At 48.0% G+C, this 16,819-nt stretch overlaps 2 protein-coding genes across 25 annotated transcripts in view; one reads left to right on the top strand and one right to left on the bottom strand.

Annotated features, from left to right (window-relative positions):
• Nucleotides 1–4,603, top strand: part of PPP4R1 (protein phosphatase 4 regulatory subunit 1) — a 70,406-nt gene extending 65,803 nt beyond the window's left edge. For all 17 annotated transcript variants that reach the window (NR_052003.2, NR_168403.1, NR_168404.1 and 14 more), the window contains 4 exons: nucleotides 999–1,119; nucleotides 1,211–1,345; nucleotides 2,059–2,200; nucleotides 3,445–4,603. Coding sequence is in view for 14 of the 17 variants with exons in the window: in XM_047437976.1 (XP_047293932.1) it covers nucleotides 999–1,119; nucleotides 1,211–1,345; nucleotides 2,059–2,200; nucleotides 3,445–3,608 (562 nt within the window). In the remaining 3 variants the exon portion in view is untranslated. The remainder of the gene's footprint in view (nucleotides 1–998; nucleotides 1,120–1,210; nucleotides 1,346–2,058; nucleotides 2,201–3,444) is intronic.
• An 8,679-nt stretch (nucleotides 4,604–13,282) lies between these two features.
• Nucleotides 13,283–16,819, bottom strand: part of RALBP1 (ralA binding protein 1) — a 63,106-nt gene continuing 59,569 nt past the window's right edge. For all 8 annotated transcript variants that reach the window (XM_047437278.1, XM_047437282.1, NM_006788.4 and 5 more), the window contains one exon: nucleotides 13,283–15,726. In XM_047437278.1, the coding sequence (XP_047293234.1) occupies nucleotides 15,460–15,726 (267 nt within the window). In that variant the 3' untranslated portion in view covers nucleotides 13,283–15,459. The remainder of the gene's footprint in view (nucleotides 15,727–16,819) is intronic.

Below are 16,819 nucleotides of genomic sequence, written 5' to 3'. Positions count from 1 at the left end.
CAGCTGACTGCAATTCGAGCTGATTTCTCCCTGCCCTGTTAGGTGCTAGCAGGTGTCCTGTCCATCCGGGCTCTGCTGAGGGGCAGTTCTCTTTCCCATCTTGGGAAGTTAGGTTGTTTGTGTGCTTTGCAACCCCAGCTCTCTGATGGGCTCAAGAAAAGATCTTGAAGTTTATGTAGCTTTTTCTACTGTAGGGTCAGTGACGTTCTTTGCAGTTTTCTGTATTCTAAGCAGAAACTGGTCCTATTTGGAATTTTTATTTTGAATTTTGTCAGAAAATAAGTGTGTCTCTTTGAGGATGCATATTTGTATACACAGGTGCATTTATCATTGCTGCATAATCTATATTCATGTTACAGTTGACTTTCTGCTTATTAGAAATGTAAATCCTCTTGAACATAAAATCTGAAAGGCAAAAGTCTCACATCCAAGGTATTTCTTCAAGGCCATCATTGAAGCTTTCAGGTTAGCTTGGTAGATGTCATGAAAGTCTCAGGGCCCCTCAGATGTGATGGGAAGGTTGCTGGAGGACACCCTCCCTCTGTTATCCCTAGCAAATCCCTTCCAGGAAGGCTCCTCAGAGCCTCGACAGGTACACAGTGGACTCCCTCCCTCTGCGGGGACTTCTTACTGAGAAACTTGATTGTAGATGGAAGCTTCTCAGCACATTCCAAACTGTGACCATGGATCAGTGTGGGCCATGTTCCAGTTGAACATACTAGGAAGTGCTTTGCTCTGTCTCAGTCCCCATGGATGCAGAACTCTACAGCTTTTGTTTTCCTTACACTCTAAGGAACTTGAATAGCATGTAAGTGCATTTCCAGATACACAGAGACTGGAGGTAACTGTACAGGAGAGGTCTGCTTAATCACTCCTCTTTGCGTATGTTTGAGACAGGTGCTCAGTAATCCAGTATTACAGATGATTTAAATGGGTAACCTATTTTCATTTGTCTCGCTGATTTTTAAACATTGTCTTTTTGTAATTCCTTTTTGTAGACAGCTGATTTTACTTCTAGAGTTATATAGTCCCAGAGATGTTTATGACTATTTACGTCCCATTGCTCTGAATCTGTGTGCAGACAAAGTTTCTTCTGTTCGTTGGATTTCCTACAAGTTGGTATGTATTGAACTTTTAAAATTTTAGATCAGCAAACTCTAAGATCCTAGAATGGAAGCTGTTCCTCATTTCTCCATGCTCACCCTCCCAGGTCAGCGAGATGGTGAAGAAGCTGCACGCGGCAACACCACCAACGTTCGGAGTGGACCTCATCAATGAGCTTGTGGAGAACTTTGGCAGATGTCCCAAGTGGTCTGGTCGGCAAGCCTTTGTCTTTGTCTGCCAGGTAAGCGAGGCCCTGGGCTTACCTGTTTGTGAGTTTTTCTCCTAGAAGAATGTCTTCTTTAACTTCCTACCTCTCTCTCACCCTCTTCCTTACTCTTAAGGAACAGAACCTTATAGTAGCCTGGCTGTTTATAGGATCATCTGCCCCCATTGTTGGGCATCTGGTGGCCCCTCTCTCCCAGCTAGCCAAGCCCCTCCTTACACTGGCATGCACCACACACACCCCACGTGCCTGCTGTATGTGCTTGTTCCACACCACATGCCTGGTATGTGCGTGTTCTGCTCTGCACACATTCAGACGTGTGTATATGTACATTTCACAGTGCACATACATGCATGTTCCTCACTGTTCCTCACTGCATATTACACAGGCATACATACATGTACCCCACCACACACATACTGTGCACACATATACCATACCACGGTTCCCACTAGAGGGTGCTCATGTCTGGGACCCAGAGCGCAGGTGTGAAAATGAAACACCTGTGAATGAACACTCTAGGTCTCCGTAGAGCAGTTTAAAAACTGTGTCTGTCCGTGTGGGCAGTTAATTATGTAATTTTTGATTTGAGTTCCCAAGTACGTGGAATTTTGGTTAAAAAGCAATAACTAAAATTTGTACCTGTGGTCACTCAGAGATTTTGTTAGCCAGTAGTCGAGTTTTTGGCTACATTGACAGAGAAGCCTAGAGCAGCTGTTTCTCTTCCCCAGACTGTCATTGAGGATGACTGCCTTCCCATGGACCAGTTTGCTGTGCATCTCATGCCGCATCTGCTAACCTTAGCAAATGACAGGGTTCCTAACGTGCGAGTGCTGCTTGCAAAGACATTAAGACAAACTCTACTAGAAAAAGGTAGGTAGTGACTCCACTAGAAGAAGCGTGTGAGTAGAGAAGGAGGTCTGTGGACTGCACTGGATCAGCAGATATCAAAGCAGAAGTATTGTCTGCTCAGAGAAAATAATCTGGTGGAAGGAAATACTTTAGTTGTTCCGGTGATTCTCCCAAGAGGGCATGGAAGATGAAAGGGATTTTTTAATTAGCCCTCTACTGTTCTAGTTGGAGTTTATTTATCGGAAGCATGTATCATTTTTATCATTTAAAACTTAGGTTTTTTTGTTTGCTTGATATTTTGAGACGGAGTCTCGCCCTGTCACCCAGGCTGGAGTGCAATGGTGCGATCTCAGCTCACTGTAACCTCTGCCTTCCGGGTTCAAGCAATTCTTCTGCCTCAGCCTCCCCAGTAGCTGGGATTACAGGTGCCCGCCACCACGCCCAGCTAATTTTTTGTATTTTTAGTAGAGATGGGGTTTCACCATGTTGGCCAGGCCGGTCTCGAACTCCTGACCTCATGTGATCTGCCTGCCTCAGCCTCCCAAAGTGCTGGGATTACAGGCATGACCCACCGTGCCTGACCTAAAACTTAGTTTTTAAACTTGGGTGTTGTTTTTATGTACAAACCATTGCCTGGCAGCGTGCCACTTGCAATCTGCAGTATGGGGGCTGGTACCTACCTATGTTTGCTCTCCCTTCTGCTTTCTCTTCATTAGGCAAGAGACAGATGCCCCATAGTATTTGTTTTGTTGGAAATTATAATCTCTTCAAGATTAAAGGTGGTTTATTTATTTTAATCGACCCCCCCGCCGCCTGCCGCCCAAAACACCTCATAAATATAGTTGCACGGATGAATGAAGCACAGAAAGAAGTTTGTAGTAGATGTCAAAGAATAAGGATAAATGAATATTTTTTTTTCTCCTTTTTTTTTTTTTGTAGTTGGTGTTTGGAAGCATTTTTCTTTCACTGCTACTTAATGGCTAAGAAGTGTGATGTTTTCATCTATTTATTAATTTAATATTCCTTAGCTGTCATTGAATATCATGAGATTTAGTCTTATAAAAACAAGATAAATCTCATAACTCTTTTTATTCTGGCACTTTTTCTTCCTATAACAAATCAGTTTGGATTACTGTTTATGTTTCAGTGTGGCTTGTTTGTACTTGTAGAAATACCCAGTTTAACTGTTTACACTCGTACTTGACGGAACTCTGAAGTGTTCCGTTGGACTGGTTTCATCTGTCCTATGCACATGTCATTTCCAGACTATTTCTTGGCCTCTGCCAGCTGCCACCAGGAGGCTGTGGAGCAGACCATCATGGCTCTTCAGATGGACCGTGACAGCGATGTCAAGTATTTTGCAAGCATCCACCCTGCCAGTACCAAAATCTCCGAAGATGCCATGAGCACAGCGTCCTCAACCTACTAGAAGGCTTGAATCTCGGTGTCTTTCCTGCTTCCATGAGAGCCGAGGTTCAGTGGGCATTCGCCACGCATGTGACCTGGGATAGCTTTCGGGGGAGGAGAGACCTTCCTCTCCTGCGGACTTCATTGCAGGTGCAAGTTGCCTACACCCAATACCAGGGATTTCAAGAGTCAAGAGAAAGTACAGTAAACACTATTATCTTATCTTGACTTTAAGGGGAAATAATTTCTCAGAGGATTATAATTGTCACCGAAGCCTTAAATCCTTCTGTCTTCCTGACTGAATGAAACTTGAATTGGCAGAGCATTTTCCTTATGGAAGGGATGAGATTCCCAGAGACCTGCATTGCTTTCTCCTGGTTTTATTTAACAATCGACAAATGAAATTCTTACAGCCTGAAGGCAGACGTGTGCCCAGATGTGAAAGAGACCTTCAGTATCAGCCCTAACTCTTCTCTCCCAGGAAGGACTTGCTGGGCTCTGTGGCCAGCTGTCCAGCCCAGCCCTGTGTGTGAATCGTTTGTGACGTGTGCAAATGGGAAAGGAGGGGTTTTTACATCTCCTAAAGGACCTGATGCCAACACAAGTAGGATTGACTTAAACTCTTAAGCGCAGCATATTGCTGTACACATTTACAGAATGGTTGCTGAGTGTCTGTGTCTGATTTTTTCATGCTGGTCATGACCTGAAGGAAATTTATTAGACGTATAATGTATGTCTGGTGTTTTTAACTTGATCATGATCAGCTCTGAGGTGCAACTTCTTCACATACTGTACATACCTGTGACCACTCTTGGGAGTGCTGCAGTCTTTAATCATGCTGTTTAAACTGTTGTGGCACAAGTTCTCTTGTCCAAATAAAATTTATTAATAAGATCTATAGAGAGAGATATATACACTTTTGATTGTTTTCTAGATGTCTACCAATAAATGCAATTTGTGACCTGTATTAATGATTTAAAGTGGGGAAACTAGATTAAAATATTTGTCTTTTAACTAGTTTATTAGTTTCTCTGGAATCTGCCTGTGTCCCTGGGTTTGGGTTTTGCTCTTGGCAGCAGCAGGTGCCTCTTGGGTGCTCCTCCTGCTCCTGCCTGCAGCCCTAAGAGCAGGTGGGTGCCGAGTGTCTGGCACAGCTTGGATGCCGCCCACTGAAGACAGCAGAGGGGGGTTGTCTTGAAGCTCCCGAGACACAGTCAAGCATCTCTGAGCCTCGATGTCTTCGTCAGTAAAATGGGAATTAGTAAAACCTGCCCTGTTTCTCACAGGGTTGTTTTGCAGGCAAATGAGTTCCTGTGTGAAGGTGCTTTTGTAAAGTGCTGCGTGTATAAATGTTTGATGTTCCTGTAAGCCTGGTTTGAAAACCTTGGCCTGTCGGAGTCCCCTGGTGCTTCTGTGAGTTTTGGTTTTATTTAGTTAGCCAGCAGGGACTCCTCAGTAAGTCAAAATAAGTTCCTTTGAACTTCAGTGTGGGATTTGAGAATAGGTGGGCTGCTTCCTGTCTACACTATTACAAATAAGCCTTTGGCTGCTGCTTCTCGCATTATAACCCAGATATTTACACACTGCAAATATAAGTGTAAACAGATTCCACTGGGAAGGATGTTCAAATGAATAGATAAATGCATAGGTAATATGTGAAGTGGGTAATGGGAGTGGGGCTGGGGAGTAGCCGTGGAGGGTGTGGGGTGGTCTCCGAAGGCCTCTGAAAGCAGCATCAGCAGAGATCGGAGGAGGACCTGGCCGCTTGATTTAGCCTCGTGTGTGAGCTGCAGATTGTCTGCTATTATCATATATTTTTGGCCCCCAGTATTTCAGTTCTGAAAATTGCATTAGAATCATACACTAGTAGCATTTTTTTAAAGCAGTGGCTATGCTAACATGGTGTATTTGGGGGTAAAGAACTTGAATTTGGCTGGGCACAGTGGCTCACGCCTGTAATCCCAGCACTTTGGGAGGCCGAGGCGGGCGGATCACGAGATCAGGAGATCGAGACCATCCTGGCTAACACGGCGAAACCCCATCTCTACTGAAAAAATACAAAGAAATTAGCCAGGCGTGGTGGCGGGCGCCTGTAGTCCCAGCTGCTCGGAGGCTGAGGCAGGAGAATGGTGTGAACCCGGGAGGTGGAGCTTGCAGTGAGCCGAGATGATGGCGTCACTGCACTCCAGCCTGGGCGACGGAGCGAGAGTCCGTCTCAAAAAATAAATAAATAAAAGAACTTGAATTTAAGTTGCGCTATAGCGCTTGTAAAGTTAAAAATGCACAAGCCAATTCCCACTGCAGCCTTCGCACAGCCTGTCCTACCAAGACTACACAGCACTGTAAAATACCTCAATGGCAATGAATACAAAAGACACCTGCATTGACAGCTTTCACATCCTACCATCAAGGCACTCCCAGTGTGAAGACTTTCTAATGGAATTCAGAATAAGATTGGAGTGTTACCCATTTCATTTCAACTCTTAGTAGTTGCCAATGATGCCTTCTGTAGCGGCTCTGAAGAAGGCGAGGTGAGGTAGGCATGTTCTTGGCAGCAGGAGTCAACCTGTATGCGACAGGTGTCCTGGGTCCTGTCTCACGTGTGGCCTCCACTTACACAGGATCTCCTAAGGGAGGAAGCTGGGATTCCAAAGGCAGTATAAAGCCAAGCACATGTGGACAGTCCCCCACGAGATGAAAGTGGAAACAGCAAACCAACTAGTATTCACAACTTCTCCTTTCATAATATAAAAATGAGTAAGATGGTAAGCTGTCTTTGAGGGTATTTAATATTGGGTGGCTAATCTTAGACGATATTCTTTGATATCGTAGGACTTGTGAGTGACGAAGGATGAAGAGGAAAGCCTTACTTTCTGGAATAGCTTCTTAGTCACTGCCTAAAGTTCATTCTCTGCTCGCCCCCAATCTCCCCAGCAGGCCCTTCCACGTGGGGGTGTAGTTGACATGGGGCCCCACTTTCTGCCCGGCCTGGCTTGATCTGGGGTCACAGCACTCATGAGCTCTGCTGTCCCTCGCCTCTTGGGAGAAGCGTGCTTGCGAGCTTGTGACAGATGGAAGCTCAGTAGTGAGTTCCTCCATCCTTCCCTGATTTCTCCCAATCTCCAGGGAACAGACTTGCTGCTGGGCTGTTGGAGGGCTGGCTCGAGGAGTAGCTACATTTTTGGTCTTGGAGATAGTTCTGCGATGCTTTCTAGAACTCTCTTAACTCCAAGTTGGCAAGTGTTGAGTCACTGAGAAAGCTGCCATGCCAGCATCCTGAGACCCTCTTGTGATACAGCTGCCTGGGTGATTCTTCAGCCTCGGGGCGGGCGTGGCATTGGTTCTTCTCAGAGGGGAAGGAAGGTGTTCTCTCCACCCCCTGGAGTTCAGTAATTGAGTCTGAAATAAACTGACAGTAGGCAGGTTAACAGAAGAGCTTAGATGAATTTTTCACGTGCATGGGAGCATCACACTGAAGAGCCGATACCTCCAAACCCAGTGAGATGGAGAAGCTTCTGTACTCCCTCACAGGGGACAGGGAAGGGGATGGGGGCAACTTAGGGGAGGGTAAATGAACTTAGCCCTCGGAAGAACAGGTGACACCGCAACAGAGTATCCAGGTGTGACGTGTGAGCCTTCGGTTCCCTGGTGGATGAGGTTCCCCCGGGAGGGGTTCATGGCAGTTGAGGTCCTTCTGGAGGATCTGTCTTTGGGCATATGAAGATGTCCAGAGAAAGCCCCTCCCAGCATTTGCCATTCCACAACTCCCCTCAGTTCAGTGCAGCATAGATTGAGGTGGCATTTCCTGAACTCCTTTGCTGTCATACCTGGTTTGTTCAGGTCCCATGTTTGTTGTTATAGGGGTGACTTATTTCTGGGGGAGCTGGTGCCAAAACACCAGCTGTGCTTAGTGTGGGGAGGAAGGGCCAGGCAGGTGCTTGGTGGGCAGCACAGGGCAGGCAGGGGCTTCGGGGAGGGCAGCAAGGCTGTAAACTGCCTTCAGGAACTGGGACATGTTTCTGTGGAGGGTTCCAGAAGGAGATGAAAAGCAATGAGCCAGCAAGAGGGAAAGTCCCAGCAACTCAAAGCCAAGCAAATGGCCTCTTTTTTTTTTTTTGGGACAGAGTCTCGCTCTGTCGCCCAGGCTGGAGTGCAGTGGCGAGATCTCGGCTCACTGCAGGCTCCGCCTCCCGGGTTCACTCCATTCTCCTGCCTCAGCCTCCCGAGTAGCTGGGACTGCAGGCGCCCGCCACCACGCCCGGCTAATTTTCTGTATTTTTTTTTAGTAGAGACGGGGTTTCACCGTGTTAGCCAGGATGGTCTCGATCTCCTGACTTTGTGATCCGCCCACCTCGGCCTCCCAAAGTGCTGGGATTACAGGCGTGAGCCACCGTGCCCCGCCGCAAATGGCATCTTTAATCCTCTGACTCAAACGAGAGAAGAAACAACTGAGTCTGGAAATAAATGTGTAAAAAATGGTGTATGTTGCTGTGTTTTCTGATTCCTGCCTCAAGCCTTTCCAAGCTGGATGTGGACCTGCAAAAACAGGGCCCCAGGGGGGGATGGCAGGGTCCAGGGAGGGTGCAGGCCTTTCCTGCACGTGTGTGCATGTGGGGTGCATGTGTGTAGTGTGCACACGTGTTCATGTGTGGTGGGGGGCGTGGTGTGGAGTGCATGTGTGTGGAGTGTGTTCGTGTGCAGTGTGGGGGGGTGGTGTGTTATGTGTGGAGTGCCTGTGTGTAGAGTGTGTGGTGTGTGTGGGGGTGGTTTTTAAGTGACCTGGAGGGCTCAGGGCCTAGGGAGTGAATGTGTCTTTTTCTCACTAGAAAACCAGTTCCTGGTGTAGGTGAGGGTGGGAGGGAAGCCCAGCTCTCACTTTCCTCTACCAGAAATTCCAAAATGGAGGTAATTTTGTGATCTGAATATGGCAGTTTTGACCATGAGAATATTTTGACTAAACAAAAATTCCAACCATAAATTTTTATGAAAGGTATTTTGTGCAGTGAGCTCTACTAAGCCAGTTTAATTCTTTATCCATTTTCTATAGGGATTTAATAACTAACTATGTGTGTGTGTGCGTTTTGAGACATATAGTCTCACTCTGTTGCCCAGGCTGGAGTGCAGTAGTGCGATCTCAGCTCACTGCGACCTCTGCCGCCTGGGTTCATGCAACTCCTGCCTCAGCCTCCTGAGTAGCTGGGATTACAGGTGCCTGCCACTACGCCTGGCTAATTTGTGTGTGTGTGTGTGTGTGTGTGTGTATTTTTTTTTTAAATTTTTTTAGTAGAGACAGGGTTTCTGACCTTAGGTGATCCGCCTGCCTTGGTGTCCCAAAGTCCTGGGATTACAGGTGTGAGACACCACAGCCGGCCAACAGTTTTAGTTTTATCTTATAGAAATTATTTTCGTTAAGAATTCTTTTTCTGGCCGGGCGCAGTGGCTCACGCCTGTAATCCCAGCACTTTGTGAGGCCGAGGCGGGCGGATCACGAGGTCAGGAGATTGAGATCATCCTGGCTAACACGGTGAAACCCCGTCTCTACTAAAAAATACAAAAACAATTAGCCGGGCGTGGTGGCAGTCACCTGTAGTCCCAGCTACGCGGGAGGCTGTGGCAGGAGAATGGCGTGAACCTGGGAGGCGGAGCTTGCAGTGAGCTGAGATCGAGATCGCGCCACTGCACTCCAGCCTGGGGGACAGAGCGAGACTCCGTCTCAAAAAAATAGTTCTTTAATTCTTTTCCTAGAAAACTTGACAAATGATCAATAATCCACTTTCAGTCCATGTGATGTTTTGCAGCATGGCTATGAGTTTAATTTCTACCATGTCTTTCTTTTAGGGCAAATTTTGCTGATTTAGAGTTGACAAGATTACTTGCAGTTTTTAGTAATTTTACCATGATTATTTCACCCCATCTGCTTTTTAGTGTTAATATTACCAATAATTGTTGCTAGTTGGATACAAGACAGCTACTGAGTAGTATTTTCAGTAGTTCCATGGGAAGAGCCACCACCTCGCCAGAGGCTCCTGAGCCGCGTTTGGGTGCGGGCCCACATTGTCCTGCTGTTCCCAATCCCCAGGAGATGCCCGGCCGTGGACAGGAGAGCGCAAGCTGGTCCTCCAGCACCGTGAGGAATTCAGCGTGGACAAGAGGAAGTTCCGCAGGGAACATCCCACAGGCAGATGCTGAGGGGAGGGAGAGGGAGCCAGGAGGGCATCCACAAGGAAAGGGGAGCCCTAGCAAGCTCAGGCTAGAATAGGGGCTTGTCCCACTGGCTGGGCAAAAGGCCAAGGGATAACAGGGGTGGACACTGTAAGACTGCTGGCCCACCTTCCTGGATGGTCATTTACTGAGATTTTCCTGGTTTTTCTGTTGTAGCTTTTAAGTATCTAGTGAAATGTTGTTGGACATTTAGAAAGTTTCCTTTTTTTTTTTTTTTTTTGAGATGGAGTCTCACTCTGTTGCCCAGGTGGGAGTGCAGAGGCACAATCTCGGCTCACTGCAACCTCTGCCTCCCGGGTTCAATCAATTCTCCTGCCTCAGCCTCCTGAGTAGCTAGGATTAGAGGTGCACGGTGCCGCGCCTGGCTAATTAATTTTTGTATTTTCAGTAGAGACAGGGTTTCACCATGTTGGCCAGGTTGGTCTCGATCTCTGGACCTCGTGATCCACCCGCCTCAGCCTCCCATAAGTGCTGGGATTACAGGCATGAGCCACCGCACCCGGCCTGGTGCCTGTTTTCCAAAAGTTAACATGTGGCTAAGTCACCTGGGGACTTGGTTCAAATGCAGATTCAGATTCCATAGGTCTGGGGTGGGGCCAAGAGACCTGGCCTTCCTGAGACTGAAGCCATAATGCAGTCTGTTGGTGTAGGATTTTATCTTTGCCACGTTAAACTCTTTGCATAATTTTGATATCTTAACCCACAATGATCAGAGATTTTAAACATTTAATATTTATATTTTACTTCCTTGGCTGCAAATCAGCACTTCCAAACTCTACATGTCAAAGCCCACATGACCACTAGTGGTCGTCATGGCTTGTGGTGGTCACGGCTTGTGGGGGTCACAGCTTGTGGCTGTAGTGGCTGCTGCGGCATCACTGCCACCCTGGGGGCAGCCAGGGTCAGTCATGGACAGGGCACAGCTGCCCCAGACCCATCCGCTTGGCTCAGTCTTTTACTAGCAAGCCGTGTCCCTTTGCGAGTGGTAGGTGGCCTGCAGGGATCAGTAGGAGGCTGTACGCTTGATTGGTGAATCTCCCCACAATTTTAATTTGAGGCAAAGAGCCAAACCTTGTCAATGCTGAGTCCTTCCTTCCCCTCCCCAGCTGGACCTACTCGATCCCTTCAGTTTCTTGGATTCTGCCCGACATTCACCTGCTTTGGGTGTTCTGTTTCCCTCAAATAACAAGGACTCCTTATCTGTGCAGCACTCAAGATCACAGTCACCTTTCACAGCGTGGACAGAGTTCACGAGTCAAAATACAGGACACTCAATTCAACTGCAGTTGCGTGGGACATACTTACAGTTACACTAAGAAAACATCCATCGTTGATCTGAAATTCTGATGTAAGGGAGAGTCCTGTACCTTCCATGGCCTCCCTACAGCAAGGTCAGCCTAAGTGGGCAGGTGTGAGCCTGCCGAGCTCTCCACCATGGCTCCCTCTTCAGGGAGTTCCTTCCTGGCCTCGCCAGCCTGTGGTGCAGTATGCGTGAGGCAGAACTCAACCCTCCTCATTCGAGAGAACTTCCCATTCCTTCTCTCCGACTGCTCTCTGTCATTGGAACAGTCTTAACAGTAGTGAGATGATATGAGGGTTTTTATCCCCACATGAGAAACTCAAGAACTGCTGGTGTGACCCTTTTCAGAAGGCTAGAGCTGCCCTTCCAAAGGGGAGCTTCTTGCTCTAATTGTAGCTGCAGCGTTCAGCATCGCCTTCTGGTACCCAGGCTCTGGCCCCACAGGCAGGGGCCCCGCTGGCACCTCCATATCAGACACAGATCACGCCTGCTTTCCCTCCCAGATGCAGCAATTTTGATCCCGCAGGAACCTCTGAGCCCAGGGTACCCCCACAAACGCTTCATTCCCTCAGTCTCAGGGATGTGCGCGACAGTGGGGGCAATAGTGACCCATGCAGGCCATGTCACTGCTCTGAGCCTCAGTCTCCCGTCTGTAAAATGGTAGGCAGGCAGTCGGGCCACAGCTTATTCTGTAGCTGAGCCTTGAGGCTGAGAAATGAAACCTGCATCTTAAAGAATGCTACGTTCTTTCTTCCCCGACTCATCTCTGCACTATAAAGTTTAATGTTAATAACATGATGACTAAGTCACGGATCATGTCCTGTAGGGAAAATGAATTGGAGTATGACGCCAAAAGCCCTATGCCAGGTACTTACTAGCCATTATTTATCTAAGCAGCCTTTGGAAATCAAGATTATCTCCACCATTTTGCCAATGAAAAAACTGAAGTTCAACAAGACTGCTTTTGAAGGTTATGAAGAAAACCCAGACTTTCCTGCCTACACTGGGTGCGGTGGCTCAAGCCTATAATCCCAGCACTTTGGGAGGCCGAGGTGGGTGGATTGCCTGAGCTCAGGAGTTCAAGACCAGCCTGAGCAATACGGTAAAACCCCGTCTCTACTAAAATACAAAAAATTAGCCAGGCATGGTAGTGGTGTGCACCTGTAGTCCCAGCTACTTGGGAGGCTGAGGCAGGAGAATTGCTTGAACTGGGAGGCAGAGGTTGCAGTGAGCTGAGATCACACCACTGCACTCCAACCTGGGCAACAGAGTGAGACTCTGTCTCCAAAAACAAACAAATAAAAAAAGCCTTTCCTGCCTAAAGTCCACGTTCCTTCCAGTACCCGCACTGTTTGTCTAGAAGCCAGTTTCTAGCACGAGACCCGGGAACAGCTCAGCACGATGTCCGGTCACAGCACTTGACACTTGAGCTAGGCGGTGGGAGCAGAGGTCGGATGTCCGAGATCTGCTGGGGCTGAACTGAACACCTGTTGAATCATGCTTGTCTAGTAACAGCAAAGTCACCAGAATGCAGAGAATGAGCATCCATCACTTTGCAGGTTCGGAGGACCCGGCATGTGACGGGCAGCAGTACTCTTCCTGCTCTGCAAAAGAGCCCCTACATGTGGCATTTAAGGGCTTTCTGCCCCCTCCTCTGCCCAGGCTTGCTATCACGTCTCCTGGGTCTCCTGGGATCTAGTCTAGAACATTCCAGGGGGCACTGCCCACCTTCCCTAAAAGCTGTGGGATCTTATGCTGAAGCCTCTGCCTGCTAATTGACTCCGGCTTTTCCTTCTATCCCTCATGAGAACCATGGGCCAGGGCTGAGGCTGAACACATGGAATTGGGCACGGGTCCCCATCGAGAGCTCCAGAAAGCCCAGGCTGCATCTTGCTCAGCCTGGCTGGACGCAGAAGGTGTGTTTGTTCTTAAGATATCCTAATACATAACAAGCAATGTGCTCTTCACAGAAACAGCTGCAGTGAAAAAAAAAAAAGATCACACAGCACTAGAGCCCATCTTGGGAGGTGACCTCAGGTCTCACACCTCAGTATCTCCAGATCCCCAATGCTAAATGTACCCCATCAGGGCGTTTGAGACTTTCCATCAAGGAGAATTTAGCTATATAAATTTAACATTATAGATTTAACTACACAAAACAGAGAAGTCAGCTGTTTGTCTAAGCTTTCAATGACAGATATTTTAATTGTGGAATTTTTAAAGCAAACAAAGCAATGGAAACTTCATTTTTATTCTAGACCAGTCTATCCCAGACATGCTGATTATGGTTGGCTGTGCTGAGTCCTCATTTACCGTATGAAATGCAAATGTCTGTCAATTGCAATGCCTGGGGCCAAGCCAGGCCAGTGGACTTGTGTGCAGTTCCCACCGGAGCCAGGAGCTGCTCAGACAGCAGACCCAGCCCAGTCCACTGGGTTTTGCAAACACAGGCTCCCTCTGCAGCAGCATGGGCTTGTGGAAGGGAGGCATGCCGCCGCCAGCATGCATGCCAGGGGTCCGGGGTTCTCCCCGTGTCTGCAGAGGTGAGGGGTACAAAGTGAGCTGGAAACAAAACACTGTGTTCCCCCTTGGCCTTGAAGAAGTGCCTCAACCAACTCCTCGCCAGCTGCAGAGTACTCAATCTCCTCACAGAAAGAATGTGTACAAAAAAACTAGAAGCTTTTCTTTTTCCCAAATGGCTGTTGAATTTATTTGCTTGATCAATAATGGTCCTGGCAAAAATTAGTTAACCAATGCTGAGACATTTGTAATGAAATACTAATTTTAAAAATCCATGACACCTTGATAGAAATTAGAGTTTACACAAACAAAAAAGGAACCTTCGATATTGCCAGCAGCTATAAAGTGAACGTACTGAGACCGACAGGACAGCAAGAAGGCATTTGCACATTTATATCTGACACCCGACCATACTTTCAGTCACCAGAATATCTTCTCTCCAGATTTAAAAAAATAGTATGCTGATTTCTATAACAAAGCTTTTTTTCGTACAAAAATCAAATAATGGCCAACGAGTCACAACAGTGCAATAGGTAGAGGATTAAAAACTGCATCAAACAGGTGCTGAAAATAAATACTACCTAGGAGAAGGAGGTGAGAGCCCTCGTGTGGGGTTTGTTTTCGACCCCTTGAGTGTGTGTGGGGTTTGTCTTCCGAGCCACGAGCCTGGCCTGTCTCGCGGTGCTGTTCACTCTGACAGAGTGCGCCTGCAGCACGTTGCCTCCAGGGCCCAGCCTCCCAGAAGCCTCAGAGCATCAGAGCATCCGTCTCATCGGATGGACCAGAAACAAGAAAATGGGGTGGGGTGAATCACAGCTATCATTCAAAGGAAAGGAATTTTTTTCTATTGCTCAATCTTGTCAATTGGGAGTCCACCAGTAGGTTCACTGAGATGATATGGATAATTTCAAACTTTTGTTTAAGAGCATATATATGGCTTATTCAGGCAAGGAGACGTGTACATTCTAGCCCAAGCAAGCAATCGGAGTCATTCTGTTTTTAAGGAAGGTCAGTCGTTTAAAAGATTTCTGGTTTGAACAACATCCTCTGTGGATGCACCAGGCCAAGGTGACTACCTTTGACCAACCCAGTGAGAAGGCCTTTGCTGGTCCCCGCAGTGAGGAACTGGCAGGAACGGGCAGCCTCCTCCCCGCTGGACTGCACTGCCGGGGGCCGGTGGGCAGGCTCCACAGGCAGCCCCTGTCTGTGGCCAGACAGGCCGTCCTGGTGACTCGGGCTTATAGACTGTGGTTTAGAACTGCAGAAGGAGAGAGGAGAGTGGGCCAGGGAACACCCACCAGGCGCTGCTCTGACCAGTCAGAGAACGTGAGGCAGCTCCCCCATAGGGATCTGCACCGAGAAGGTGTGGAAGGCACAAGCAAGAGTGACGGTACCAGAGATCCCAGAGGGCGTGGCTCGCGGCGGCCACAGCAGGCGCAGCGCTGACCTGGGGTGGTTCCCCCCTTGAATGAGAAAGAGATCCTGATTCTGCTGTGATAAAAAAGCAAAGAAAGACGGTTTTTGGTTTAAAAAGAAGCCACTCAAGGGTTAAAATAGTTATTTTAAGTTAACAAAGAAAATTAATCTTCAAATAAGCTGACACTATCTGGAAAACTCATCTGTCCCTAAAGCCCACAATGCGTCCACTGCTTCGTCCTCCCATGGAACCTGAGCCTGACGTGAAGGAGTCAGACGTGTGACAGAGGAAGAGTCTGAGAAGAGAAGACACCTTTACAGAATGTACAGCGAGAGAGCCGGCCTGGCCCCCGGGTTACAGTAAGATGCACGGGTCCTTTCAGTCTCACGGACTCCAGACGGCCACGCAGGCTGCTCAGATGGACGTCTCCTTCCTATCCCTGCTGGGCGATGGCTTTGCCGGCTCCTTGCCTGCCTTTGGCTGCTCTTTAGCTGCTTTTGGCTCAAGGACGCCGTCTCTGGGCGGCTGGACGGCACCCCCGCGCCACTCAGGCTCCTCGTCCTCCTGCGCCTGCTGCTCGGCCTTGGCTCGCTGCATCTGGAGCAGCCGCAGCTGCACGCGCAGCTCGATGATGGCCTCGCGCTCCTCATGAATTGCTTGATTCAAATGATTGTTCTTTATCTTGGGGAATGACAGAAAGGGCAGTTATCACTTAAGGAAGTCAGAGGACGATTTCTCAGGAGCAGAGCGCGGTTAGCAAGGGCATCCTACAGAGGAATCTGGTTTTGTTTAAGTCAATGGGTTGTGAAACAGAAGACAAACACAGCAGGAATGCACAGTGCACAGTGAGCCACGTGACTCCTGAGAATGTGAGGCTGGAAACCCTGCTCCTGGTTACTAGAGAGAAACACATCCATGTGCCAACAGAAACCGTTATTTTAATAATTCAGTATCCTAGTGTTTAAAATAGACAACTTATAACTTTGAACTGGCTTCTCAACAGCCCTTAAACAAGGAGAAAATAAAAGTAATTTTAGCAGCAATTAGAAAGGGGAGTTAGAGATCAGATAAAAAACTAGATTTGTTTCAAAGGTGAATATCCTTTGTCTTTTGTGAATAGTATTACGGTAATTCTGAAATGTCCTACTCAATCAAACTACAGAAAATTACTATCAATTCTAAATCATCTGGATGTACTCGGCAAAGTTTAGGTCCTGAGGAATAGCAGCGGCCCTGCTGCCGTGGCCTCCACTCTGTGGCAGGTGCCAGCCTCCCCTGCGTGGGTGTGGCATGGACTAGGCTCTGCGAAGGGGGCATAGGTGTAAGCGCAAGCACCGAGTGCCACGCATGCACCCTGCCCTTGGCGACTGGGCATGCCTTGATCCCTTCCCTGCTAACTTAGTCCTGCTAAGAGTGGCAAGACAGAGCAGCCACATTGGACCCTACATGGAAAAAAGTGGTGTGGAGGATGATGGGCTGGACCGCCTGCCACACAAGAGACACCATCTTGTTTAAACCACTATGTTATTCTCTTTATTACAGCAATTCAGCCTACACCCCAAGTACAATACTTCTGGATTCTGTTTTCCTACTCAGAGTTTTAATACGATCTTAAAATGTTAAGAAAAGAACATCAGGTGCCAATGTGAGGCCTTTCTGAACAGGAGCTCCAGCAACCCTGGTCTCAGCACCTGCAGGGCTTCCTCCCACAGCACATTCCTGCCGCAGCAAGGGTCTCTGCCTTGAACCTTCGTGGTTGCCTCTGAGCTCTGCC

This window comes from Homo sapiens, chromosome 18, assembly GCF_000001405.40.
Source record: "Homo sapiens chromosome 18, GRCh38.p14 Primary Assembly".
Taxonomy (NCBI): domain Eukaryota; kingdom Metazoa; phylum Chordata; class Mammalia; order Primates; family Hominidae; genus Homo; species Homo sapiens.
This window is presented reverse-complemented; position numbering and strand designations above follow the sequence as displayed.